This window comes from Homo sapiens, chromosome 6 (assembly GCF_000001405.40).
Source record: "Homo sapiens chromosome 6, GRCh38.p14 Primary Assembly".
NCBI classification, from domain to species: domain Eukaryota; kingdom Metazoa; phylum Chordata; class Mammalia; order Primates; family Hominidae; genus Homo; species Homo sapiens.
Genome location: NC_000006.12, coordinates 5,649,273 through 5,675,603, shown reverse-complemented (window position 1 = coordinate 5,675,603; position 26,331 = coordinate 5,649,273). Strand labels below are relative to the sequence as shown.

The 26,331-nt window shown below is 43.3% G+C and overlaps 1 protein-coding gene and 1 long non-coding RNA gene across 15 annotated transcripts in view, besides 2 other annotated features; one reads left to right on the top strand and one right to left on the bottom strand.

Annotated features, from left to right (window-relative positions):
* Positions 1-10,619, top strand: part of LOC101927950 (uncharacterized) — a 30,288-nt gene extending 19,669 nt beyond the window's left edge. Inside the window, exons 3-4 of the long non-coding RNA NR_110842.1 lie at positions 7,491-7,567; positions 10,146-10,619. This is a non-coding gene — a long non-coding RNA (uncharacterized LOC101927950). The remainder of the gene's footprint in view (positions 1-7,490; positions 7,568-10,145) is intronic.
* FARS2 (phenylalanyl-tRNA synthetase 2, mitochondrial) overlaps positions 1-26,331 on the bottom strand; it is a 521,650-nt gene that overhangs the window by 95,980 nt on the left and 399,339 nt on the right. Inside the window, exon 7 of one of the 14 annotated variants that reach the window (XM_011514249.3) lies at positions 471-24,515. The exons of the other annotated variants lie outside the window; for them this stretch is intronic. Coding sequence (XP_011512551.1) covers positions 24,494-24,515 — 22 coding nt within the window. The 3' untranslated portion in view covers positions 471-24,493. Of the gene's footprint in view, positions 1-470; positions 24,516-26,331 lie in introns of those variants that run through there. 14 annotated transcript variants of the gene reach the window in all.
* Positions 1,866-2,862: an enhancer, noted in NCBI's record as "NANOG-H3K27ac-H3K4me1 hESC enhancer chr6:5672975-5673971 (GRCh37/hg19 assembly coordinates)". NCBI's record gives its function as "activates a minimal SCP1, AML or CMV promoter by ChIP-STARR-seq in naive H9 embryonic stem cells {active_cell/tissue: H9 hESC(naive)}" and the evidence as "EXISTENCE:reporter gene assay evidence [ECO:0000049][PMID:30033119]".
* Positions 9,188-10,387: an enhancer, noted in NCBI's record as "BRD4-independent group 4 enhancer chr6:5665450-5666649 (GRCh37/hg19 assembly coordinates)". NCBI's record gives its function as "activates an origin of replication core promoter dependent on BRD2, P300/CBP, MED14 and CDK7 cofactors, and independent of BRD4, by STARR-seq in HCT116 cells {active_cell/tissue: HCT116}" and the evidence as "EXISTENCE:reporter gene assay evidence [ECO:0000049][PMID:35650434]".

The window sequence follows — 26,331 nt, the reverse complement described above, 5'->3', positions numbered from 1 at the left end:
CTTGGTGATGTTCTTACTATACTTGTTCTGTGATTTATCCTAGCTGAACAGGACTCTTTTTAACACTGTATTGGGTACATGTGGAATGGCAAGTAACATATTTCATGACTAAACAAAGAGTTACTGCAGACAATACTACACTGATACCAAAATACACATAGAGATGTGTATGGCTTTCTCACTTCAACAATTCTGATAAGTTTCCATTGAAAAGAAGTCTATTTTCTCTGTCTCCTAAAATTCTCTGTTACTCCTCCCCAGAGCTTCTTCCTTTGAACAGAGCCACAAAGACTGGGATACATGACAATCAAGTCCCTGTATGGACTGACAGCACACATGTGGTTACCAGCTACTACATAGCACCGTGTGTGTGTGTGTGTGTGTGTGTGTGTGTGTGTGTGTGTCTATCTGCAAATATAACGCATTTTTATTGACTCAAGAGGTAAATATATGCAACTTTATCAAACACCTTCTTCACCAAATATTTATTGACCACCTATGTTGTGACAAACTCTGTATTTTTATCTTTCCCCCAAAAAATGCAGATTAAAAAACATTTTTTATTAATTCCCCATAGTAATTGGGAAATATTGGTAGAAAGCACAGAGTATGACCAGTAGTAAAAAGGAAACTACAGTCTGGCCTCAGCCTGGCCACTGACCACTTCTTGTGACTCTGAGAACTTCCCTTTGCCTGTTCGGTCTCAATGGTTTCATTTGTATAATGAAGGAACTAGACCAGGCAATTTCTTTAAAAAATCCCTCCAAGTACAAAATGCCACAGTTCCAAATATGGAAGTATTTTATAATGTTGGTAACTGGCAAAAATAGTACTGCTCCCAGAAGAACGAAATGATATTGATCTCATTTAGGTTATAGGCATTCCTATGTGAGAAGAAGGCAAATATCACACCTCCATCCACCCCCTCAAGAATCTGAGAGCCTAGGCAAAGAGAAATCAGGCATTCACAGAAGTACTGTGAAAAAAAACAAATTTGAATGACCACAAACATTTTGCAAATGTAATACGATATAAAATACAAATAGCAAATCATTGCTCCTTGTCTACAGTTGCCGGGAAATAAGAATTCCCAACTTCCAAACTATTACCTCTGCATGGATCTGCCAAGGTTCCGATTCCCAGTGGCCTTTACAGTGTGGCCAGCTGGAACCTACATCTGACCAACAAGTCTTTCTCTTAATATCCCTGTCAAAAACATCCTCGACAGGAAGTTAACTTTTTAAGAATGTCAATAAATGAAGAAAGTTGGCAGTTTGGGCTGTTGCCAGTATTAGGCTTACAGGCAAAGAAAATAAATGGTGTGAATCTATCAAGATGTGGCAATTTCTCTGATATGTGACATCTGCTTTACTGTTTCTTTTTCTTTCCTTTTTTTTTTTTTTTTTTTTTAATGAGAATGCACTAACTGAAAAGAATCCTTTTTAAACTGACAAAATAGAGGACACATCCTCAGGGCAAATGGTTTCTAAGACAGTGTTTGAATAAAACATATACATAAACCTTTGGCTGGATCACCGAACACTGATACCTTCCACTTCAATATTTTGGCTAGTATTTGGTTGGGCTGAAAGAATTCTTCCACACACACAATAAATTGTTACAGATTCAGAAGTTTAAATAAGCAAATAAGTAAAATGATTAAAGGATTCCATAAACCTACCATCCAGAGAGGAACACATTTAACACCTTGTTTGTCTAGTCCCTAAGATGTACAGATACATTATATATATTTATATGTATATTCATATGTTAAGTCCATCTCATACTCCAGACATACCAAGGTGTGCCAAGAGCTGCAGAGATCATTATGCTGGCACCCCTGTGTGCAAATCTGTGAACTACGGCACCCTGTTTGGGAAGCTCTACTCTACACTTCCATACATTTGAGTTTCTCAGAAACAAGCATCATCGACATGGCAGCAAAGAAGCTTCATTTCTTGGAAAGTTCCCATGTTTCTTGTATCTGTCCCTCACTTCCACAGAGCTGGCATGAGTTCAACTAGCATACGTTTAGCTGGAGTCTGCATAAATGACGGGGAACATAGAATTTCCTCACCGCCCAAGTCCCATTAAAAAAATAAAAGCATTGTAATCGTATCCTTGCTAACCCGGATCTCTTCTTGCTTCCTCAGATACTTGCACCAGGATGGACAGGCCCAAATTTGTGGCCTTATTAACTGTGGTGCCCTAGGAAGGGAATGAAGGAATGTTTTCCCGAACGAGTCTTTCTGATGGCAGAAGTGGGGAAGCAGGTGCTGGAGGCAGGACCCATTCACTTCAGCTCCAGGAACACAGGTGCCATGCACAGCAAAACCAGCTGTGGCTTCTGCCCTCCAGGCGCAAACGTGGAAACTGACACATACATGATTATAATCAACGTGGGAAGTAGACAGTGCTTCTCTAATTGGTTTGTGCTTCCCCAAATTCCTTCAGGGTAGGGACCGCATATTCTATCATTTGCCTTTCCTCAATGGGAAGCACAGTTTGGGGCCCAGAAAAGGTGTTGGGGGGCTCTTGGTTGGTAGACTGACTTGATGCTAAACTGCAAAGGCAGAGGAGATAAATTCCCTTCACAGCCCCAAAGGTCTTTGGTTATGTTAATTACTCCTACCTTCCCCTAACAAATGGCTAGGGTGTCACAGAAAGAGGGCCCAGAGGGCTCTTTAATTGCAGTGGCCCATCTCATCCCATTACTCTCACCACTCAAAGGCGTTTCTAATCCAAAGGCAAAATACAGTGTCTCCAAACTCCAGGGAAAGAACAGAGAGGAACACATGTTGTCAGTGGCAACCAAACTTAGCTTCATCATGAATCACTGTGGCCTCATTCTGACAGGTCCAGTTGCAGCCTAGCCCTAGATCGCACCAAGCAGTGACTCAGCTACAATGAAACTTCAGATGCTATTTTTAAGGGGGGCTCGCAAGGGGAAGGAGGGAGGTGTAGAAATGCTTTATTATTTTTTCCTGAATTTTTATAGCCTCAACTAAATCTAAATCTTTACTTTGAGACCAGAATTCTGGAAAAGTTAACCTGCCCCTGAAGTTATGTAACCCATGGTTTACTTTTTATATCACAGCTTGCCCGTTAAAGTCACAAACCATTTCCATGGCCAAAATCTGTTTGAGTAAAATTGAAAAGGGGAGTTTTCAGAAGAGTCTGGACCCAACGGAAGCAACTGTGGTACAGTGGGAGGAACACTGGCTTGAGAGGCAGACGGTTCTGCAGCTTGTAAGCTGCGTCACGGTGGGACTGAACGGCCAGGACGTGGCCAGGGGATAGTGAGGCTGAGGTGGCTGTCCTGGATAGAGTCTTAGGGCGGGCCACCACAGGCACGGGTGGGTGTGCCTACCCTGCTAGCTCTGCACTTTGGGTCGGTGAGGAAACCCCACCAAAGCCGCTTTAGATTCCACAGACTTCAGTGCTGTCTTCTCTTTACTCTTGCCTTCCCACTGAAGGGGCTTTGCTGTTCCCACGGCTACCGACTGATTCCTGTGTTCATCTACTCATCCTTCTCTGGACTTTTTCCAACTGCTACCTTCTCTTGAGCAATTAGCACAGTGCACATATTTCCAGAATGGAGACATGGTATTTTTGTGGAAAAGTAGGACAATGTCTTCCGCAAATGCACGTTCCTCACGATGATCGGAATTGTGTTTCCTCTCCTGGCAAGGTCCCTGTCTTCTGGGGAACAGTCCCCCTACAGTGATTTTTGGCTTATGTTCTTAGACACAAGCGATGGCTCAGAAGCCTCACCTCCCCGCGTTGATGCGATTTCTCCTGCGGGTGTCCCTGTAACATCTTTGGTAGAGCAAGCCATCCAGCTCAGAAGAGCTCTCATGAGGCAAAATCTAATCTAAAAACTCTTCAGTGGCAACATCTTTAAAGGTTAAACCATCCTCTGTAAACATGTGCTTGGTTCTTGGAGTAAGTCCTTTCCTATTTTTTCCAGAGCTAAGTCTTCCAGGCTGGAAGGCTTAGGAAGAAATAACGCCCAGACTGGCCCGACAGTGTTGAGTGGAAATGGGGCACGAGAAGGGGGAGCCTCACCATCTGCTGATAAATCCATTCATACAACAGTGACCTTGAACACCATAGTTCTTTCTGTAACACCAGGAAGTTCCGGCAGAAACAGAGGAGAGAACTGAGCAGAGCCCCAGCTCAACGCTGAGACTTCCTCTTGCTACACCACATTAATCCTATGCCTGAAGAGCTCATTAGCCAATCACTTTCATGAACAAACCCATCCAGCTCTGGGGACAGGAAGAGCAGAGACAGAGTGGGAGTAACTCTTACGTCATGCTCTGAAAGCTCGGCCATGAAGCCTCATTTTTCTGAGGTACTCATGGACACTGCAACTTCCTCCTCCTCAGCTTCTGGCCAGCAACAGGCCCTAAATTAGTTAAATTTAACTATAATAAACATGCTGCAAATGAATTATATTTAACTCCAACAGCCACCTCAGGGTTTGTCTGGAGATGAAATAATTTTAGCTTATGCTACCATAAGTCCCCCAACTAAGGCAGAAAGTAATTACCTAAGGATTTACTGTAATGAGTTCACTGACACTCATTATTCATTATAGTGTGTGAACATTCCAGTCTTTTATACAGTCAGGCATAGACTGCACACTGCTGAATATATAGTCTTGAGTGAGCACAATAAGGACACTAAAAATAAAAAGCCACCTGATTTCAGTCTTAAGAATTCGTAATAATTATGAAGAGCCCCGGTTGAAACTTTACACCATCAGTAGAACTGAGCCTGCTAAGAAAATGAACAATGTGATAAGCTTTTGGAGCGATGACACTGCATGGCAGCACTTAAAAAGTGTGCTTATTTAAAAAAAAAATGTAACTGGGCTTCAGTGCTGTGCATACTAATGAGAACTCATGTTTTTCTATCCATTAAAGCAGGATCCTACTCAGAAGCATTTGGTTAGAGGAAGAGACTGTTTCTAAAAGTACGTACAAGTAATAACTTGCCCAAAATGCCATTCCTTATAAAATATTATGATATTCTACATTTCATTTGCTCTGAATCATCTTGCCATTAAAAAATTCTCATTTATCTAGTCACCCCTCGTGATCCATTGTGCATCAGTTGTGGGCCAAGTACTATAAGCATAAAGAACAACAGGACATGGTTTCTACTCTCTAGAAGCTAAAAGTTTAGTAGGGGACACAAAAGTTTAGTAAGTAAATGTTTAGTAAGTAAAAATGTTTAGTAAGTAAATGATTTCCTGAATTGTGATATCCACAATGATCAGGGGGTGTACTGCCTGTTGAATATGTATTATCTAGTCAGTATTGATGTAACTTATTTGGGTGGAGAAATCTAAACAGGACTTGATCAAGGACCAAAGCAACTCTAGCCAACTTTGGCCACTGAATGTCCTCTGTATACTTGCGCACTCTGGGCATAAGCGCCTATGCTTGGCTGCATATATCATTAACACACTGCTGTTAACTTCTATGTAAGTGTTTATATCTTGCCTCATTCTACGAGAATTTTAAGGAGGCCTACGAAAGAAAATATACAACAAAATAATGTTTGAATATGAACAGAAATCAAGAATCAACACAAGAAATGGGATGTTATTGACACTTTTCTCATGTCAGACTCCATTCTGCCTACTTCTTCCCCACCCCCGTTCATAGGTCATGAGCTGTGCAAGCAGCTAAAGGGATCTGAAGGTGTGGGGTTAGAGGCAGGCAGAAGGGGTGCTTAAGCCAACTCAGCCTCTTCTCCTTCACCAGCTCCTCCAATAAGCCCAACTCCGGACAAGGCTCTGGGTGCTCTTGCAGGTGAGAAGGTGGTGCCGGCAGCCACTCCGCTTCACTCTCCGAATCTCAGGACCTCTGTTTGCCATCAGGAGGCCAAATGACTAGCAGGGCAGGATTTGGGAGCTCTTGACTTGGGCCTATAATACCACAGAACAGCATCAGAGCCCTCTCCTAATACACTGCAATATGATGAGCGAAAATATTAGCAAGTACAGGACTACTGAGATCAGGGAAAAGAGCAACACAACAGCAAGCCCTGGGGGCTGACGTATACGGTGGCTCTCCCCAGCCACAGTGAAGGAAAAATGGTCACTTACAAAACCCTTAAGGTCAAATTTACCCTTATCTTGAGGCACACTAACCCTTGGTGCTTAATTTTTAAAACATTTCCCACAAAAGGTTTTATAGGCAGCGGGGGGGTGGGGGGAGGTGGGCTGAGTGATAGGAATGGACAACACTCAACAAGCTTACTATGGGACCTGCGGGAGCAACTTTCTCTGTTTCTCAGGATCTGTTGATGGAATCCGAGGGCACAATGTTCAAGTACTGACCACAGAAGGCAATGGCATAGGAGGCCAGGATAACACGTCTGCTCCGTGTCAAGGAATGGCTCCTATTTTCCCATTCCAGGACTACTTTCTTAGGAGAAAGGGAATTAACATCTGTTTGTTTTTTCAGGGACTGCACTAGGTACCTTATATTGATTATTAAAATATAACCTTGAAAGCACTGTGCACTATTATCATCATTACAAGTGGTTAAAGCCCTTGAGGCCTAGAGAAGTTAAGAAACTTGCTCAACGTGGGCTGGGTGTGGTGGCTCATGCCTGTAATCCCAGCACTTTGGGAGGCCAAGGCGGGTCCATCGCCTGAGGTCAGGAGTTCGAGACCAGCCTGGCCAACATGGTGAAACCCCGTCTCTATAAAAATACAAAAAAAATTAGCAGGGCGTGATGGTGGGTGCCTGTAATCTCAGCTCCTCGGGAAGCTGAGGCAGGAAAATCACTTGAACACAGAAGGCGAAGGTTGCAGTGAGTCGAGATCACGTCATTGCACTCCAGCCTGGGCAACAAGAGACAAACTCCATCTCAAAAAAAAAAAAAAAAAAAAAAAACCCAAACACACAAAAAAGAAACTTGCTCAAGGTAACATAGCAATGAAGAGGTAAAACCTGGATTCAAACTTGGATATTCCTTCTAAGCCATCCATTTTTGCCTCAGCTGTTTCTACATAAAGAATAACAAATGTTTCGCCTGAATTAAACAGTAAAAAACATCTAAACCTCAATTCATTTAATTGAATGAAGTTCAGGAATTCACTTTCCCTCTGGTTTCTCTGGCTATTTGACCAGGGGACCAGCCATTTCAGTATCACATGGACACACGCAGATAACCCTAACAGTGTGCTGGGTGTCCAATAGTCATTCCCGAGCTTGAATTGGTATAGTATCATTCACATGAGCTGCTGCTGTCCAACAGTACAAGAGTGACAATAAATTAAATATTTGCTCATGTGGCTGCTTATAAGATACATATAAAACAGAAAATAAACCTCACATTATAAGCAAGTCATCACCATTTATAAGTAAAATTCAACATAGCTGAAGCTACTAAACCCCACATCATCCCTTGAGGGAAGAAAGCCTCTCATCTGTTTTCAAATTTAAAAACCTCTCATCTGTTTTCAGACCTACCATTTATTGTCGGTGTACACAGACTTCTGAAGGAGCTGAGCAGAGGAATGGTAAAGAGAACCTCTCTGACGGTGGGTATTAAAGGAAAGTGGGCTACGAAGTAATAGAGCAGGAGATTGTGGAAAAGCTCAGCAGCTCAGGAAACCCACACATCACACACAAAATCCCACATCGATGTTAGAAAGTGTTTCTCTTGCTCTAAGAGTCGATCACCAGCAGCCAAAATATTGTTTGAGGAAATAGCACCTGTCTTTTTCAACCCACTAAAGTTAAGATGTATTTACCCACTGTAAATGCAGCCAGAAAGAAATGTAAACTAACTGTTGCTAATACCTTTGCATGGCTGGGTCTCCACTTCCCCCTCTGCAAAATAACAGATTTGGACAGATTGTTCTAAGGGCTTATCCAGCTCTGATGTTCTAGAATTCTATGGGTTTGGCTGGATGGCTCCATGTTTGGTACTGATAGTGATTTTCTTAAGGGGTTATCTTTAATGCCAAATGATATTTTACTTTTCCCCCAAATTTTCATTTTGTTTATATTCACTTTGTTATATTCAACAAAGAATATAATCTTTTTTTTTTTTTCTTGAGACGGTGTCTTGCTGTGTTGCCCAGGCTGGAGTGCAGTGGCGTGATCTCGGCTCATTGCAGCCTCCACCTCCTGGGTTCAAGCGATTCTCCTGCCTCAGCCTCCTGAGCAGCTGGGACTTTAGGCATGCACCACCACACCAGGCTAATTTTCGTATTTTTAGTAGCGATGGGGTTTCTCCATATTGGCCAGGCTGGTCTCGAACTCCTGACCTTGTGATCTGCCCACCTTGGCCCCCCAAAGGGCTGGGATTACAGGCGTGAGCCACTGTGCCCAGCCAAATTTAATCTTTATTTTTATTTTTTAATTTTTATTTTAAGTTCAGGGGTACATATGCAAGTTTGTCATATAGGGAAACTTGTGTCATGGGGGTTTGGTATTCAGATTATATTGTCACCCAGGTATTAAGCCTAGTACCCATTAGTTATTTTTCCTGATCTTCTCCCTCTTCCCACCCTCCACCCTCCGATAGGCCCCAGTATGTGTCCATGTGTTTGCAACATTTAGCTCCCACTTGTACGTGAGAACATTCAATATTCGGTTTTCTCTTCCTGTGTTAGTTTGCTAAGGATAATGTCCTCCAGCTCTGTCCATGTTTCTGCAAAGGACATGATCGCATTCTTTTGTATGGTTGCATAGTATTCCACGGTGCATATGTACCACATTTTCTTTATCTCGTCTACCATTGATGATCCTTTAGGTTGATTCCATGTCTTTGCTATTTTGAATAGCAACGAATACACATGTGCATGTGTCTTTATAATAGAACAATTTATATTCCTTTGGGTGTATATCCAGCAATGGGATTGCTGGGTCAAATGTTAGTTCTGTTTTTAGGTCTTTGAGGAACTGCCACACTGTTTTCCACAGTGGTGGACCTAATTTACATTTGGATATGATCTTAACCACATTTTAATTATTTTGTCTGTTTGTCTGTCTTTGCCTCCAGTGTCTAGCACTGTGTAGGCCTGGTATACAGCAAAACTATCATGTACTATTTATTAAAATAGCACTGCTCTCTCTCCTTGCAACTGGAAGGTTTCCTGGAACTTTAGGCACTGTGTAGTTCTTCTATAGTCAGGCTGGCTGCTCTCCTGACTTGAACTCCTGGCAGTGGAGGGGCAGGTTGGTGGCATTTCTTTCAACTCAACGCAAATTCAGGGACCTGCAGTGGCCATTAACCAGCAAGTGTTTACTGAGCATATTTCTGTGCCTGACACTACATAAAAAGCAAAACAAACAATATTGTTGACTCTTACTTATGTTTCTTTTAGTTAGGAAATAAATATTCTAAGTTAGTTGAGGGAGTTACTGGATTCTTCCTTACACAGCCCATCATTCCTGGCACTAAGAACTGCACACATGAGGTACCCAGTATTTTGGGTTTAGTTGAGTTCAATGAACCAATAAATACCATAGTCTTTTCAAGTGCGGTACGCTAGACCTGCTATGCTATGAATCTTCCCTTCCTCCCTCCAGATCCTGCCATGGAGCCAGAGGTACTTCCCTTCCCGGGGTCTCTTCAATGCCAGTGCCTGTGCGATTACAGCCACCTCCTCTCCAAACCCTCATGACATTCAGCCACCTCACCAACTCCTCCCACTCAAGGAAGGGTGGAATTGTCCTAAAAAGGAAGCAGAAAGCTCTCACCTCCTGCCAAGAAGCTGCCCAGTAGTTGGTAGTAACTGGCTTCTCACTTACCAATTTGAGTCCTTCCAGGGTCTGTTTTGTGAAAGGATGAAAAAGGCAATACTATACAGTTAAACCTCAAAGGAATTAGTTGAAAGAAATTTCCATTATCTTTTCAAATGGCTAAATGCATCTCAGCCCCTTATGTTTCCAGACATTGTTTAGAACGTCCTTCTCTCTATCCCAGATCACTAACATGCCTGCTCTGGGATATGTGGTTCTGGCTCAGACAACCTGATCTGAGGGGGGAAATAAATATGATAGAAACATAAAGCTTACTACCTTATTATCAACCGGTTAGAAATCACCTCATCCACACACACCCAGGCCTCTGTGTCTCTCTGACAGTCTCCTCTCAAATCTCTCTAGAGTCTGTGAGACTACAGCTCCGAGAAATGCTTCCTGTTTTGAAGATGGAGCTGCATCGTGACCTCCGCACACCTGCCTAGTCAGCATACCCCAGCATTCTTGCAGCTGTGACCCATGTGCTTAGCAGCACTGTGGAGTGCCAGCCTCAGCCACCCCTGGAGAGAGCCCGCAGAACCATGGCCCCTATTCACCTGCCAGCGGACCATGCTGCTTGTCAGCGGAGGCTCCAGATGTCAACTCTCCAGGGTGAGCCATCAGTCAACATCCTGGCCATCGGGGTTTTTGGGTGAGCTTCCTCAGGACAATGGTCTCATGTGACCGCCCAGCTCTACTTAAACACATTTAGTCCCTTCACAAATAGCCTGTCCTTAGAAAGCTCTTTGTGAGGAGCTGAAATCAACCTTTGATAACTTTCTTCCCACTGGTCTTTGTTTTGCCCTGAAGCAACAAGTATACTCCCTTTTCTCTTTAAAACAACAAATAAAACAAACAAATGAAAAAATGCCTCAGCATCACTGTATATGAAAGGATACAGGAAACCAGATGAAGAGAACTGGCAGGACCAAAATAATAAAAATGAAGTATCTTTGTGAACAAGTTAAGAAGCAGGAACAAGACTTCTAATCTCTTCTCCGTCCAGCTGCCCTTGAGCTACTGAATGATAGACCCATAGGAATCTTCAGAGATCACAGTTATATGCCTACGCTGAGGAAGCGTCCATGTTGGTGCTCTTAAGGACTAGGACTAGGATGAGATCCATCCTCAACATCTCATGTCCTACTAAGAGAGACAGACCAGTCTACAAGTAAGCATAACACAATGTCCACTTCTTATTCTAAGAACTTATAGTCATAGATTATAGGATATTTTGTGCTTTTGAGATGATGCTTTTAATGGATTAATTATTCATTTAAAACAGAAGTGGAGGAAACCAAGGGAAGTCAGCTTACTACCTTATTATCAAGCATGAGGTCTGGATATAACCTGTGAAATCATTGGTGCAAGACCAAGCAGACTCTGGGCGAGGGATCCATGCCCAAGGCCTGGAAGCCAGCTCCCAGGGTGACAGGCAAAGGCCTCGGCTCCCCTGGCAGGACCCTCGGTGTAACACTGGCTGCCTTGAAAGCATTTTCTAAGTGGAAATGAGTCAAGGGGGTCCACTTGATTCTCAGCCACTTGGATAGTCTTTGACTTCCAAGCCCTTTCTCTCCTCTCCAGCACAGGGGAGTTCCTATTTTCAGCATAAAATTAGCATAGAGATGAAACCATTTCAGGGAGCATAGAATGAACTGACACAGGAGACATTAAGCTTTCTGTTTCTAAAATGAAAAAGTTTTCCTTTTTCTTTAAAACCCCAAAGCTGCCACTTAATTTGTGTTCAGATTGCACTTTCACTGCAGAGCTGCTAACAGTGGGATACTGTTCAGAGGGGCTGAGGAGGCCAGGGGGGCCACAGATCTGAGCTGTGAACACAGCCATCTACTGTGGGGCCACTTAAGCACCTGCAGTCCATGGCCCTGGCCAGCGTGCATCCATCCTTTCTGCCTGCAGTAAAGACACCAGTGCAGCCCAGGTGCGCACAGTAGTGCTGAGTACATCTTCCCTGGAGATCTAAGGAGCAAGACCTGGTCCTGCTCACCTCCATGTCTGTCTCTGGCTCCCCTCATATCATTTCAAAGACATCTTCCTTGTTCTTTTGGACAGGATTTCTCTTCATCTCTCTTCCCACTGGAAAAATGATTCTAAATAGCTGGACTGGGACGAATGACAAATCTGCCATGGAGCCCGCGCCACCCCTTCTTCCACACCAACTTTTGTCTTTTTTTAGGTTTTCTCACATCTCTCCTCTCCGCTCTTTTAAGCTCTCAAGTCCTCTCCACTTTTTCTTTAGTGGATTGCTTCTGATCTCATCGAAACACATTCTCTGAGTCATTAACAATACGAGGCACTGAAGAAAGCTGTCTGCTGGTGGCCCCAAAGGCAAGCCCTGTCCAATGTCAATGTCAGGGCTTTTCAATTAAGGGAGCACAGAGCAGCTTTGAATAATGCCAGATCTTTACGGCAAATGATTCCATCCAAACAGATATTGGGAAGAATTTTTTTGAAAGTTCAATCATCTGATCTGACTGCTAAATGTTTAAAACAGCTGAAAAGGAAAGAGGTTTTATTTGTGCCAAGCTGGCTAAGATACTCCCTACATTGAAGAGCCATTCAGTAGCCAGGGGGGCTTGTTTTTAATGCAAAGGGAGTGGCTACTGATTATTATATATCTGGGAAATGAGAATGTAAACATTCACCTGCTATAAAATCTTATTACTGTGAACCATATTATTTTAGACATTGTGAAAAACTGGACATAGAATCACCTCCTTTTAGAGTTGTATGTGACTAAAACAATAAGTGTTTCCCAAATGAAACTGCAACACGTGGAGGCAGCAGAAGGTAACAGGCTTCCGAAGCACCATCACTGCATCCAAGATGCTATCATAGAATTTATTAAGTACTTACTATGCATCAGGCATTGTTCCAAGAGCTTTATGCAAACTAATTTAATCCTTACAATGATCATATGAGCTTGGGAGTATTATGTCTGCTTTATAGTGAAGTAAACTGGGGCACAAAGAAATTGTAACCTGCCATGGTCACACACGGCCAGCAAGTAGCAGGACCAGCGTTCAAACCCGGGGATCTGATCTGAGAATCTTCCCTCTTGACCACCGCACACACCAATTCTACTTTGCTAGCTTCTCGATGAAGGGCTTAACACTTGACTAATTTGCATAACTTTCTAAGATAATTATAGTTTTGATAATTAACTGAAAGTAGAAGTTCATCTCTTTATACACATTTGGATGGATCTAGAGACACCCGTCCCTGAGTTAGTTCAAACGGTGAAGCCAGCAAGAGGAGTGGCCTGGGTAGGTAATGCCTCCCTCCAGGGCTTCATCCAGAGAAGGATCAGGGGAGGCTCCTTCCAAATGCAAGCGGCAACGTGACTGATGCTCTGGAAGTCAGCAGTGTGGGTGACTATTTCCACATTGCTGTTTTAGTGAGTTTAACATATAGCACAGAGGTGCCTTGAGAATGATGGTTGGATTTCATAAATTACATTCTGCTATTCATGGGGAAGTCCCTGCAAAACTAAAGTAATAACATGCATGTAGAACTGTAATAATAATATTGTCTGCAATGCACTGCAAGGATGGGAAAATATAACAAATGAATAGAATAGTTTGTAATAAAAGAGCTGACAAAGAAAAAAAGAATGAAAATACCCCAACTTTCTGAATTTAAAAATACGTTAGGTGGAAAACCCATGGTAAAAAGTCCATAAAAATTACAGTGGACTAGTTCCATGTCAAATATAAGCCCAAGATGAAATCTAAGCAAAACAAGAGAAAATATTTTTCCTTTTCTTTTTCATTCAATGTAAAATACCCTTTTGTCCAGTCTAAGGTCAACCCTGCTCACCCTCTTCCAAGTGTGGGGTCCCATGATGTCTTACCTTCTGAGGAACACTGTAACATCTCTCCTCTGTCTCTCTCTCTTATATAGTTACCTCTCCTACTCTACTGGATCCTTCTCCTGACTTTTACACACTCTGAAGTTTATTACACTTTTACAAAACTTCTCTTACTGCACACAACCTTTCCAAGCATGGCCTTGTCTCTCTTCTTTTCTTCAGTTGTCTACTTACTGTCTCCATTTCTTCTCCTCCCACTTCATTTTCAACCCACTCTATCTAATCTTGCTTCTGGCCCCCTGAGTGATCATTTCTCCCCACAGTCACCAGTGACCCCTATTGCTAAATGCAATGGCTTTTTGTTGATCATGTCATTGGCTCTTCAGTGATGTTGGCTACTCCTGCCATCTTGAAACCTACTACCCTGGCTTCCAGCACTCACACACCCTGGCTCTTCCTCACTCCTGGCTCCCCCACGTTCCAGGCAGATTTGCTCTCCTCTATCTGGCCACCAAGGGCCCTAGTTCCATAAGATTCATGCAAAGCCCCTTGCTCTTCTCACTCCATGCTTCCTAGTCCACCTTCTCCATACTTCAGTTTCAAATACATTCTCAATGAAGATCACTCACACATTTATATGCCAGTCTCTGTGTTTCCTGTAAGCTCCAGACTGTTTCAAACTATCTGTGCAACACGTTTACTTCAGTGCCTCCAGTAAACCTCAAGGCAAACGTGTTCAAACCTAAATCTCAACCAGTTGTGTCCTTAACAACAATGGCAGCATCATCCATCTGGTTCCATAATCAGCATCATCCCTCTTCCCTCGTGTTCAACTAAGTAGCAAGCTGTAGAAATTTTGGGTTTTATTTATTTTGGGATCTGCTGAGTTATCTCTATCCCCTCGCCACAACCTCAGTTGGAACAACTTGTTGCTTGTGTAGCTGTGCTGTAGCCTCCCGCTGGTTCTGCAGCCACACTCTTCCCTTTCAGTCCCCCTCCACAAAGCAGCCAGAGTCATGTTTTTGAAAACCAAATCTGATCGTGTGACATTCCTTGCTTAAAACATTCCAGGGGCTTCTATTGCTCTTGGTAAAGTGAGAGATCCCTACATGGTCAAAGAGGCCCAGTGTGGTCTGGCCTCAGCCCCGTTTCAGCCTCAACACCATGTCCCCCACTTTTCCAGCCACACTGGCCTTCTTTCCAGAGCTCTGATCCATAGATTTCTTTTCCTGCCAGGGAGCTTTGCTTAGGCAGCTCCTTGGCTTTGAATAATGCTCTTCTCTCCCTGGCCTCACACTCAACCTTGACTCCACTGCTCACTGTTACTTTTTTTTTTTTTTTTTTTCTGAGACAGGGTCTCACTCTATTGTCTGGGCCAGAGTGCAGTGGTGTGATTATGCCTCACTGCAGTCCTTGACCTCCTGGGCTCAGGGGATCCCCCCACCTCAGCCTCCCAAGTAGCTGGGACTAAAGGCATGCACCAATCATGCCCAGCCAATTTTTTAATTTTTTGTAGAGATGGGGGTCTCACTATATTGCCCAGGCTGGTCTCAAATTCCTGGGCCCAAGTTATCCTCCAATCTCAGTCTCCCAAAGTATTGGAATTACGGGCCTGTGAGCCATGGCGCCCAGCCTGCTCACTGCTCTTAAAGCATCAAGTTGCAGATGCTTATTTCAGCTGTCACTCACATCTACATGTGTGATTATTCCATGAAAGTTAATTTCCCCTCTAGTCTAGACTATTGCTCTTTGAGAACATCAGCCACGTCTGCCTTTGCTTTCCACAGTGACTACTGGCTTAGTAAACAGTGGACATTCATATGAATAAACAAATGTATGAATGAAAGAAAGAACTAATCAACGAAGGGGACAAGCAGATTGTGAGCCAGAGAGTGCAAGATTGGTGGATGGCATTCTCTTTGAACTCCATCATGGAGCACAAGGCTAGGCCCACCTCCTCTAAGCAATAACACAGGTGGGACACAGTCTCGAACTTAAGAAAGAAAGTAAAAGAGGGAAGGGAGAGGAAGGTAGTAAAGCGGGTTTCCCAACCTACTTTAAAATGTAAATGCCCCAAAGAAGGAGGTGCATTGTAAAGTTCCTTCGAATAACTAACACATGAAATACCTGTGAACAACTCAGGAGGATTTAGGCAGGATGAAACTGTGTCTGCCATGTACCTTGTCATGTTTATATTACAGTTCCTTTAACACATGTTTGTACCTTGTTCTTTATATGCTTGTATCCTTCAACTAGACTATAAATTACTGGAAGGCAAGAACCATGATTTTTCTCCACTGGTATGTAGCATTTAAGTGACTCTGTTGTGCAGCATAGCTCAGGCATTCCTAAGTGGTTTTTGATGAATGACTTATAGATAGAAAAATAAATGAATGGATACATGGAGAGACAGGCATCAAAAACAAAAGCTCCCCACTTTACAACCATGTGGATGGATAAGAAGCTGAAACAGTATATACCAAAGGCATACCAGTACAGGGGAGCAAGCAATGGGCTAAGAATTAAAGATAATTATCTGCTCACCGGACTGTCACTTCGCTGTACTGTGAGTTCCTCAAGGGATGGCAGGGCCTTTTTTTATTTGTCCTTGTGCAGAGTGAACGTGAGCTCTCTTCTCATCCCCCTTAATGTAGTTACAGAACGAATCAAAGTCTAGACTAAGCCCTTGCACTAACGACTGGGGTTACACTTGGCTGGAAAAGCGTTGTTTCTCTGGACTGAAAATGAGAAAATAGCACCAGATGATCTCCAAGATCTTTTTCCCAGCTCTAACATTTGATGAATCCATAATTAACCATGTGAACAAGCAGAGAAAAGATGGGGACAGCCAGGGCTTAAGCAGTTGCACTAATCCCAGTGGGACACATATGACTTTGAAAAGCCTTCCATACCGCAAGTCATATGAGGTACTGCTAAGAATGGTAAAGGAACAACTGTAGTCCAACGCGGGCACTGGGCATCAAAGTCTCCCAATACATAACAAAGCACTATCAGGAACAATTGTAAAACGCAGGGGCCAACATTCGTGTTGGGGCGCCTGGCAGCTAAGGAGACAGTAATTCAAATAAAATATAAGCAGAACTTGAAATTGGATACGAGCACATATCAAATGTTTGTATTTTCAGGGTCTGTGGAAAGGATATTAAGCCATTTGACACAAATTTAAAATTATCCAATAACTTGTGTTATTGGGGTGGGGGGAAGATGCTTAATTTCTCCTAGAATTCATCTCCTTGAAAATTTCTATGACAGAAATCCAGTCATACATTTTGCTAACCATCTATCTAATTCTAGAAAAGATTAGTTCTTTGATGAAAAATTCTTATAACTTCCCTCCAGTTTATAAAACATAAATGCCATCATGGCTATGACAATAAAATGCTGTGCCATATACATTTCTTAAAGAGGCAATGTATGAGTAGACATGTAATGTAGTTTATGTAGTTAGGGTATTCTTGTGTATATTAGAGTGCACACTGGTGTACTCTTGGGAATAGAAGGGTACATTTGAATAGCTCAGTGGTCACCCCCTTGAAGTACCCATATGTTTTTGGAGTTTAGTTACTGGAGATAAAAAGTCTTGGAAAGATTATGTGTTAATGCTTCCAATCTCTGCTAAGTAATAACAATAACTTAATAACAGTAACAACCACCAATGTATATTGAGCAATTATTTTGTGCCAGGCACTGTTCTAAGTTCTCTTTTTTTTTTTTTTTTGAGACAGAGTTTCACTCTTGTTGCTCAGGCTGGAGAGCAATGGCACGATCTCGGCTCACCACAAACTCCACCTTCCGGGTTCAAGCAATTCTCCTGCCTCAGCCTCCTGAGTAGCTGGGATTACAGACATGCACCACCACGCCCAGCAAACTTTGTACTTTTAGTAGAGAAGGGGTTCCTCCATGTTCATCAGACTGGTCTTGAATTCCCCACCTCAGGTGATCCGCCCACCTCGGCCTCCCAATCTAAGTGCTTTTAATATGTTATCTTATTTCTAATCTTCACAACAATTATGAGGAAGGCATTTTTATGACTATTCCCCATGTCACAGAAGAGGAAATTGAAGTTGAGTAACCTTCTAACCAACATGGCTGGTGAGGGGTAGAACCAAAATTTGAATCTAGGCAATCTGCCTGCGAGCCTCCACTCTTAACAATGACTCAGAACTGCTCCTTTATAAACTACTGACCATAACGGAAAGTTTTACTGGAAACTGAGAGTTATAAAATTGAACATCAATTTTTGAAAATGCCTCTGTCCTCCCTTTCATATTCTCTGCTTTTAAGAACCGTTAATGCAGCCCAGGTTTTGTGTAGCTAAATGCATATACATCTCCCTGGAGCACTTATAAACCAAGACCCCTCTGAAGCCAGAACCTCATTTAGCCAGGGCAGAGGATGCCAGAACAACAGACTTCCAGGACCAGTTTCATAGTCACTGCCTTCCCGCATCTTCAGAGGGGAAACCTCTGGGTCTCATAATAAGTGGACTTCAGTGATCCTGTAACAGGAGGGCAAATATTTCAATGATTTCCCGCATCTGATCTTCCATGTCATTTCCTATTCTAAGCTTGATTGGTCAATCTAATCAGTGCAGCACAGTGGAAGAGATGCCTTCATTTCAACAAGCCATCTTTCATCTGGGTTTGTCCAGAGAAATTTAAACTCACAGGCCCTCGTTTAGATAAAGGCTTCCAGCTTGAAAGATACAAGGATCAGTCTTCTGAACTGTGAGGGGGGTGGAAGCTGAACAATAATAAAGGGTACTTTCTATTATTATTTTTTCTAAATACACATCCCACAAAAAGGGGATAAAGAGATAATAGTTGAAAAGAATTCACAAGGCCTTTATATATATTTTCACATATTGTGATACATATGTATATATACACAATGTATATACATATATGCATTACATAAGGATATGTAAAATATAAAATATTTTAGTATCTGTAAAATATCTGTATAACATTATTAAAGTATCTGTCAAATACAGATCAAAAGCCACTCAAGTGATACTCACTGGAGCACTAAGACATATACGGTATGGTTAGCCACCCACACAATTTTCATTCTCATTAGGACACACCACATGTATGCTTAAAACACCTGTGTCAAAGAACAAGGTTGGCCGGACACAGTGGCTCACACCCGTAATCCCAGCACTTTGGGAGGCCGAGGAGGGTGGATCACTTGAGGTCAGGAGTTCAAGACCAGCCTGGCCAACATGGTGAAACCCTGTCTCTACTAAAAACGAAAATTAGCTGGGTGTGGTAGTATGCGCCTGTAGTCCCAGCTACTCAGGAGGCTGAGGCAGGAGAACCTCTTGAACCCGGGAGGCGGAGGTTGCAGTGAGCTGAGATTGTACCACAGCACTCCAGCTTGGGCGACAGAGCGAGACTCTGTCTCCAAAAAAAAAACAAAGAACAAGGTTAAGGAGAAACATGGTTGAGAGTCAAGAGTTTGTTTAATGTCACTGCTCTGGTGCTCTGGGGGGTGGCAAGAATCACAAGGTAAGTAACAGTGAAGTGGACCCTGGAGCTCAAGCACATTACTCACTCAGCTTATTTCCTCTCCTCTACAAACACTTCCAATTCTAGGTTACCTGGTTACACTTCCAGTTCTTGGTTACCTTCCAATTCTAGGTTACGTGTGGCAGATGACATATTGGAGCCAGCTACAGCTGATGTGTGTGAGAGGAGGTCAAGGCTTCCACAGCAAAGCCAGTGACAGGTTGGCACAGATAGGAATTCTGGAGTTGGGGATAAAGAAGGCAAGAATCCACAACAACAAAGATGATGGCAACAGCAACAACACAGGGACCGTCCTCTTCCTTGTCTTCCATTGTACTTGGAGATGAAAGGAGAGTTTCCAAGAAAAATGGCGATACTGGTTTTTCTAGAGTGTTAGTGGTTCCCTAGGATGATACCCAACATACCTGGAGTTCAAGTCCAGTTTTCAGAGTAATAAGCCACAATCACTGCAAAGACAATTTAATCATTTCCCAACTGTTTTAAAGAACTGAGAGAAATTTTCTAACATTTATTACTTTATAACAGGGAAGTGAGTTATGTGTTTTGAAAACCTGGTCCATAAATACTCAGAGACAGAGATGGGGAAAGGAAACAACCAGCTGAGTTTTAAAAATGTTTAATTAGCACCTGTGGTAGGTAAAAGAATGATCCTCCAAAGACACCTACCTCCAATTCTCTGGAACCTGAGAAAATATTGCCTTACATGGCAAAAAGGACTGTGCAACCATGCCTAAGTTAAGAATCACGAAATGGGGAGATGTGTATTGTCTGGGTGGACACAACATAATCACAGGAATTCTTATAAGAGGGAGGCAGGAGGGCCAGAGTCAGAGGAGGAGATGTGAGGAAGGGGCCACAAGCCAAAGGATGCAGGGACCGCTAGATGCAGGAAACGGCAAGTCCACGGATTTTCCCCTAGAGCCTCCAGAAGGTGCCAGCCCTGCCAACAAGTCCGTTTCAGCCCAGTGAAACTGATTTCAGGCATCTGATCTGCAGCTGTAAAATGATCAGTGTGTGTTGTTTTAAGCCACTATGTTTGTGGTAATTTGTTAGGGCAGTGAAACTTGTACAGCTACTCAGTGCAGTGAAAGGTGGGATCCTGGACACAAAAAGGAATGAAAAAAAAATCAATCATGCTAAAAAGGATTACTGCTCAAACACCAAGGAAAGAGAGGTTTCTCAGACCACAAGCTGGAAGCTCAAGCTCTATAGAGTTTAAGGAAGACAAAATTTGGCTAGAAATTTTTTCTCAAGGAGAGAAAAGCATATACGGTGGACCCTCGAACAGGATGGGAGTTGGGGCCACCAACCCCTCACCCAGTCAAAAATTCACATGTAACCTTTGACTCCCCTGAAACTTAACTACTCATAGCCTACTTTTGACCAAGAGCTTTGCCAACAGCACAAATGGTTAACACATATTTTGTATGTCGTATGTATTATATACTATACTGCTACAATCAAGTAAGCTAGAGAAAAGAAAATGTTACTAAGAAAATAAGAAAATACACATTTACTATTAACTAAGTGGAAATGGATTATCATAAAGGTCTTCATCCTTGTCATCTTCACATTGAGTAGGCTGAGAAGGAGGAGGAGGAGGAAGAGGAGAGGTTGGTCTTGCTGTCTTAGGGGTGGCAGAGGCGGAAGAAAATCCACGTATAAGTGGGCCGGTGAAGTTCAAACTTGTTCAAGGGTCAACTGCAATTAAAAGAGAACCACTTCCTGACAGGATAGATACTGAAACCTCCCACCGAGGGGTCTCAGGTGCAGTGGTGTATGGGGCTCCCGACATACACAGGTAGTATGTAAATACCCCTAACACAGTCTTCCCAAGGCCTGGAATCCACCCTTGAAGAGTAGCAGGTCTTCGAGTCTTAATGCTTTTCGGTGTTACACTCATCCTTGTTGAACATTCAGTTAAACCTAAGGGGAAGGGCAGTATCCTAACCCCAGAGGCACTTGATGCAGTCCAAGCTATTATCCACAAAGGATGTATCAGGCTGAGAACATCTTTGTTTTTTTTGGAATAAATATTTTAAACATCAACTGCAGGAAAACATTTGTAAGTTCTGATTTAATCCCTCTAAGATGGTTATCAGTGAATACTGTAACAGAGATAATTGGAGAAGAGGCATCCGACCCCACAGTCTGCCAGGAGGAAACCCATGGATGTGGCAAGTAGGGTGGTCCAGAAAGGATGTTATGTCCCATTAAAGCAGACCACACTGACCTATGACCCGGCTGGGATGGGGCAGCCGTGGTTTCCACAGAAGGTCTCTGCTCCTGCTGCTCCTCTGTGGACGTAGGGCCCTAATGTGACTGGGGATTCCATGGTCAAAGGGTCAGGGCAGAAGCTTCTGAGAAACACTGCTGACTCTACTAGTGATGTCCTGATGCTGTCAGAGAACCCAGGGTGCCACTGATACTATACTTACACACAGCACCCATGCCAGCCAAACTCCAAGACTGCCAAGGACTGCCCAGCATTACGTAGGAAACTTCTGAATGTTCACAGAAACCAGGGTAGAGTCAGAGCAGGGAAAGGCAGCCTGCCCTTCTCCACTATCCTCTTCCCCGCACTCCACGAAGATGCAGCCTGCCCTTCTCCACTATTCTCTTCCCTGCACTCCATGAAGGTGAGCTTTGCTTTGGTGCATCCCCAGGGTCCAGAGGAGCATCTGACAGGTAACAGGCACTCACAATTGTTGAATGGGTAAATGAATCAATGAATGAAGGTTGGGGATGTGTTATTTTATAATTCCAATAGTGCAAATCCCTCAACTCATGTCTATCTCTTCCTGATCCCTGAAATGAGATGTCTTCCCCTCCGATCCCCCAGGAGGGGCCTGCTTGTTCCTCTCATACACCAGTCTCGTCAGACTTGTATTGTGGTCACTTAGTTCTTAGGATTTTCCTTTTCAAAATAAAATGCAAAAAGCTAAGGGCTGAGCCTGCTTTACTCGTCATTATACCCACTGCAGCTGGTCCAACGCCTTCCATGTAGTAGGTGCACAATAAATACTTGTGGGTCTGAATTGGTAAAACATTTTTTCTTCAATTCTTTTTGGAGCAATAGGGTTTGCATAGAAAAGCTCACTTGTATTACTGAGCAGATTACAGTAGATCAGTGTACTTTTTTGTTAAAATCAGGTTCATAATTACCCTGTAGTAGGAAGAACTGCTATAAAATAATAAGAGGATACTTCAGTAAGAGAATTCAGGTTCATTAATGTCTAAGGTTCTGCCAGAAATGAAAAGCGTTCTTAAATCAATTTATCAATATATAAACACTTGATATTAATGTAGATATATATGCATATATTTATGATTAGATTTACTGATTAATAGGCTTTCCCTATCTTTGACGTAAGAAGAGATAAAAATAAAGTGGCATATTGCACTGAACAAACGGCGTATGGCATGCTTTATAAATACACACACTTTGTCTCTCTCTCCTGCATACACACAAGCCCCAAACTCTGCCTTTCAAGATACTGGCCTCTTGCCCTAGTTGGAGGTGGCTAAAAGGAAACTCTTAGGATCCTGGACACGATCACTGCCTTACAGACTGTCTGGGGCAGCTCCCCCATTACCTGCAGCCAGGAGGGCACCTTTGCTAGCGCCTCGGGAGCAGTCAGACACTGTCACTGTCCCTTCCCACAGCCGCGGGAGGTGCTCTACCCACATTAGCTATGCCCCACATCTGGCCATTTGCTGGGCCTCAATCCAGGCACCCCACAAGGCCACGGACGGTAACAAGCGCTCATCAAAGGTCTCTGTCAACAGAATCCCCTGCTTTTCTGTCCTTCCCTGGAAGTTGGCAAGCGAGAAATGAAGGCCTGAAGGGCAGTCGGGCCATTCTGAGAGAGGTGAGCCATCAGCGGCTGCGCCGCACTGGGCCTTCATTTCTGCCTGGGATGGGAACTTGTCCTTTGAAAGAAAAAGGAAAGAGAAAAACTAACATTTACCGAGTTCCTAGGAAGATAAAACAGATTTATTTCATGACAGTACTACCAGGTATTTATTCCCTTCTAAAGTTTCGCTTTTATTTTTATCAAAGTTCTACTTGCACAGATTCGAAGGGTCAAATAATTCTCAGGACTTTTCCTGAAAGACAGCAGCCCCCATCCCCTATCCTGCCACAGTCTGCCCAGACGACCTACAGGAGACCTGTTTTCAACTCTTCTAGTTGGTTCCTTTGGTGGGTCTCTCTGTAGCTTTAAACAAGCTATTTTTCTTGCTACTTCTGGTTTGTTATTTGTTTTAGGCATTGCCTCTGTATCACCGAAGAGAAGCACTTAGCTCCTTCATGCCTCACATCTCCTGCCCATGCCTGTGCCCCTCCCGGATCTTCCTGATGTGGGCATGCGGAGACTCCTGTCAGATCCCCTTTCACACTGTTACCTGTTCAGGTCACTACTGAGCTCCACAGTAAACTAAGATGACTTCTTCTCTGTGCAACGTTCTGTTTCCCCCAGCTTTCCCAGCTGTGTTAACTTGTCATCAGCTTGGTTTCTCCTGTTGTCAAGGGGGTGAGGCGTGGTATGCTGGCTATGAGTGTGGACAGCCTGGGTTCAAATCTCAGTTTTGCCACTAACCAGCTATGCCATTTTAGACTAATGATTAAGCACTGAGTGCCTCAATTCCCTCACTGATAAAAGGAGGATAATGACTACCATCTAATAGGGCTACTATCAGGATTTAATCGTTAATACACACATGCTTAGAACTGTGTCTGACACACAATGAACACTCAATAAATAGAAGAGGCAATGGTTGTTATTAGGTTTGCAATTACTTAATCCTCTTGAAGTGTCCCTGAAGCCTTCAGCTCTGCTCCAGTCTGAACAGATCCCCCTCTGATGATGACCGCGCAGCTGAGGCTTTGGGATGGTTCTTGCCTTGCTTTTTTTGTTGCAACTCTTACTTCGTGGATCTTGTCTTAGCTTACTTCTCGTTTTGGTGGAAACACCTTGCTTTTATCATCTCCAGAGAATAAATCTCCAGACTTCTACCAAGATGAAGGCCTGTTGGTGATTGGCAGAGTGGTCCTTTTGCTACACGTCAGTGAGGAGAAAATCGAGGGTTCTGCTCCTCAAACACATTTTCAATCGACAGTCCTGTGTTAGCCCTACTTCAAGAGGAAGCTTGTACTACTAACTCCTGAATCTTTTGGGGGGTTTTGTAGTTCAAGCTGGATTGCTTCTTGATTGTTCCCCTGCCAACTTGGATTTCAGCTTTCTTGGGTCTACTGAAACCTAACTGCTCCACTTCTCCATCTGCTTTTCAGCTTCCAAAATTATGTTGCTGATGTCTCCTCTCCCCGTCACTTAGTCTCTAATTACTTTATACCTGAGAGGGAAAAAACCAAACCCTTTACTATTACTGTATTGAGAGGCAACTGAGGTTAAAGCTTATGTTCAATCTGCCATCTTTAATCAAAAGTCTATTAACCCTACATCTTACTGGTACAGTAGCTGAGGTACCACAAGAGGGTGAATAATTGGTGGAAGCTCGCAAAACCAGTAAGAATCAGAAAGTGAACTCAGGATCAGGTCAGCCTGATCCTAAAGTCCAACCCTTCCCATTGGAGCACACTCCCTCTCCAGGGAAACGTGGGGCCTCTTCCAGTAGGAATTGTTTATTGGAAATGTGTCCCACTTTGGCCAGGCAGGGTGGCTCATGCCTGTAATCCCAGCACTTTGGGAGGCTGAGGCAGGTGGATCATGAGGTGAGGAGATCGAGACCATCCTGGCTAACACGGTGAAACCCCATCTACTAAAAATACAAAAATTGGCCGGGCGTGGTGGCGGGTGCCTGTAGTCCCAGCTACTCGGGAGGCTGAGTCAGGAGAATGGCGTGAACCCAGGAGGGGGAGCTTGCAGTGAGCTGAGATCGCACCTCTGCACTCCAGACAAAGTTACTACAAAATGTCTTTACAAAGTCACCAAAGCTCACCATGCCGCAATTTGTTAGAGGGTTAATTTTTTAAATTATAATGGTGCTTGGTAAATCTCCTTGAATTAATGAGCCTTGCAGAATTATGGCTGATGTGAAAAGGTATATAGTTAGCATCTGTTTGTTCTGTGCATATATCTCTCTTCCATGATGTACATATATTTTAAGGAACATTTCTTTGGGTGCTTTTGAGACTCTGTCTCAAAAAAAAAAAAAAAAAAAAGAAATGTGGCCCACTTTGACATCGGTACCAGGATAACTACCATTAGACCTTGAAGATTCAGGTGACATCTCTCGGCCTACTGCTGGTACCGTGCCACATTCCATGTCCCCCTCCTGAATGCCCCTGCACTTTTGCTCCGTGAATTCTTTTAAAACCCCAGGCTCGGTCCTCTGACCTTAGTTAGAAAGGTTTCCTAACAGGAAAGAAAATGGGTCCGGCAGTGGGGCCCTTTCCCTTGCTTGCCCTATAATACGATTGTCACCTGAACCTTTCCCAATGATCAAAGTACCTGTAGGAAATCTAAGAAGCCCCTTCTCAGAAAAAGTCTGGGGTCTTTTTATCAAAAAGGCAATGAGAAGGATATTTTTAGGCCTCACTCACCAACAATTACTGCTTTCAACTCATGAGCAACCCTAGACCACATCTGCCAAACTTGGCCTGTGGGTCCCCATCAGTCTATCCTACACAGCCTAGCGGATAAGAGTACGGGCTCTAGAATCACATGGACTGGGGGTTCAATCCCAGCTTTGCCACTTACCTACTTGTGTGGACTGAGGACAAGTTACTCAGTTCTCTAAGCCTTGGTTTTCTCATCTATAAAATGGTAATAGCTGCAGTATTCACTTTATTGAGTTGCCATCAGTTTAAATGAGATATCGTATATTAAGCATTAAGTATAATATCTGGTCTGGTGCCAGGTAGGGCGAACACCACAGTATCCTTCACGGTGTTCCTGGGAATGAAGCCCCCAGCAGCCTGCACCCTCAGCTCCTGGCCCTGCATGTAAACCTCAAGGGTCACCAGAAGCTTGCCTCAGGGTTCCAGGGTTGCCCCCAACCACTCAAATCTTCCAAACAATGTGTACTGGGGACAGAAACTTTGGTTATGTAAAAGTTTAAAAGAGTGAAGTGATGCAAGCTACTTTAAGGATACCGGAGATAAATGATCTATTTATATTTTTATGGTGAAGACATAAATAGAAAAAAA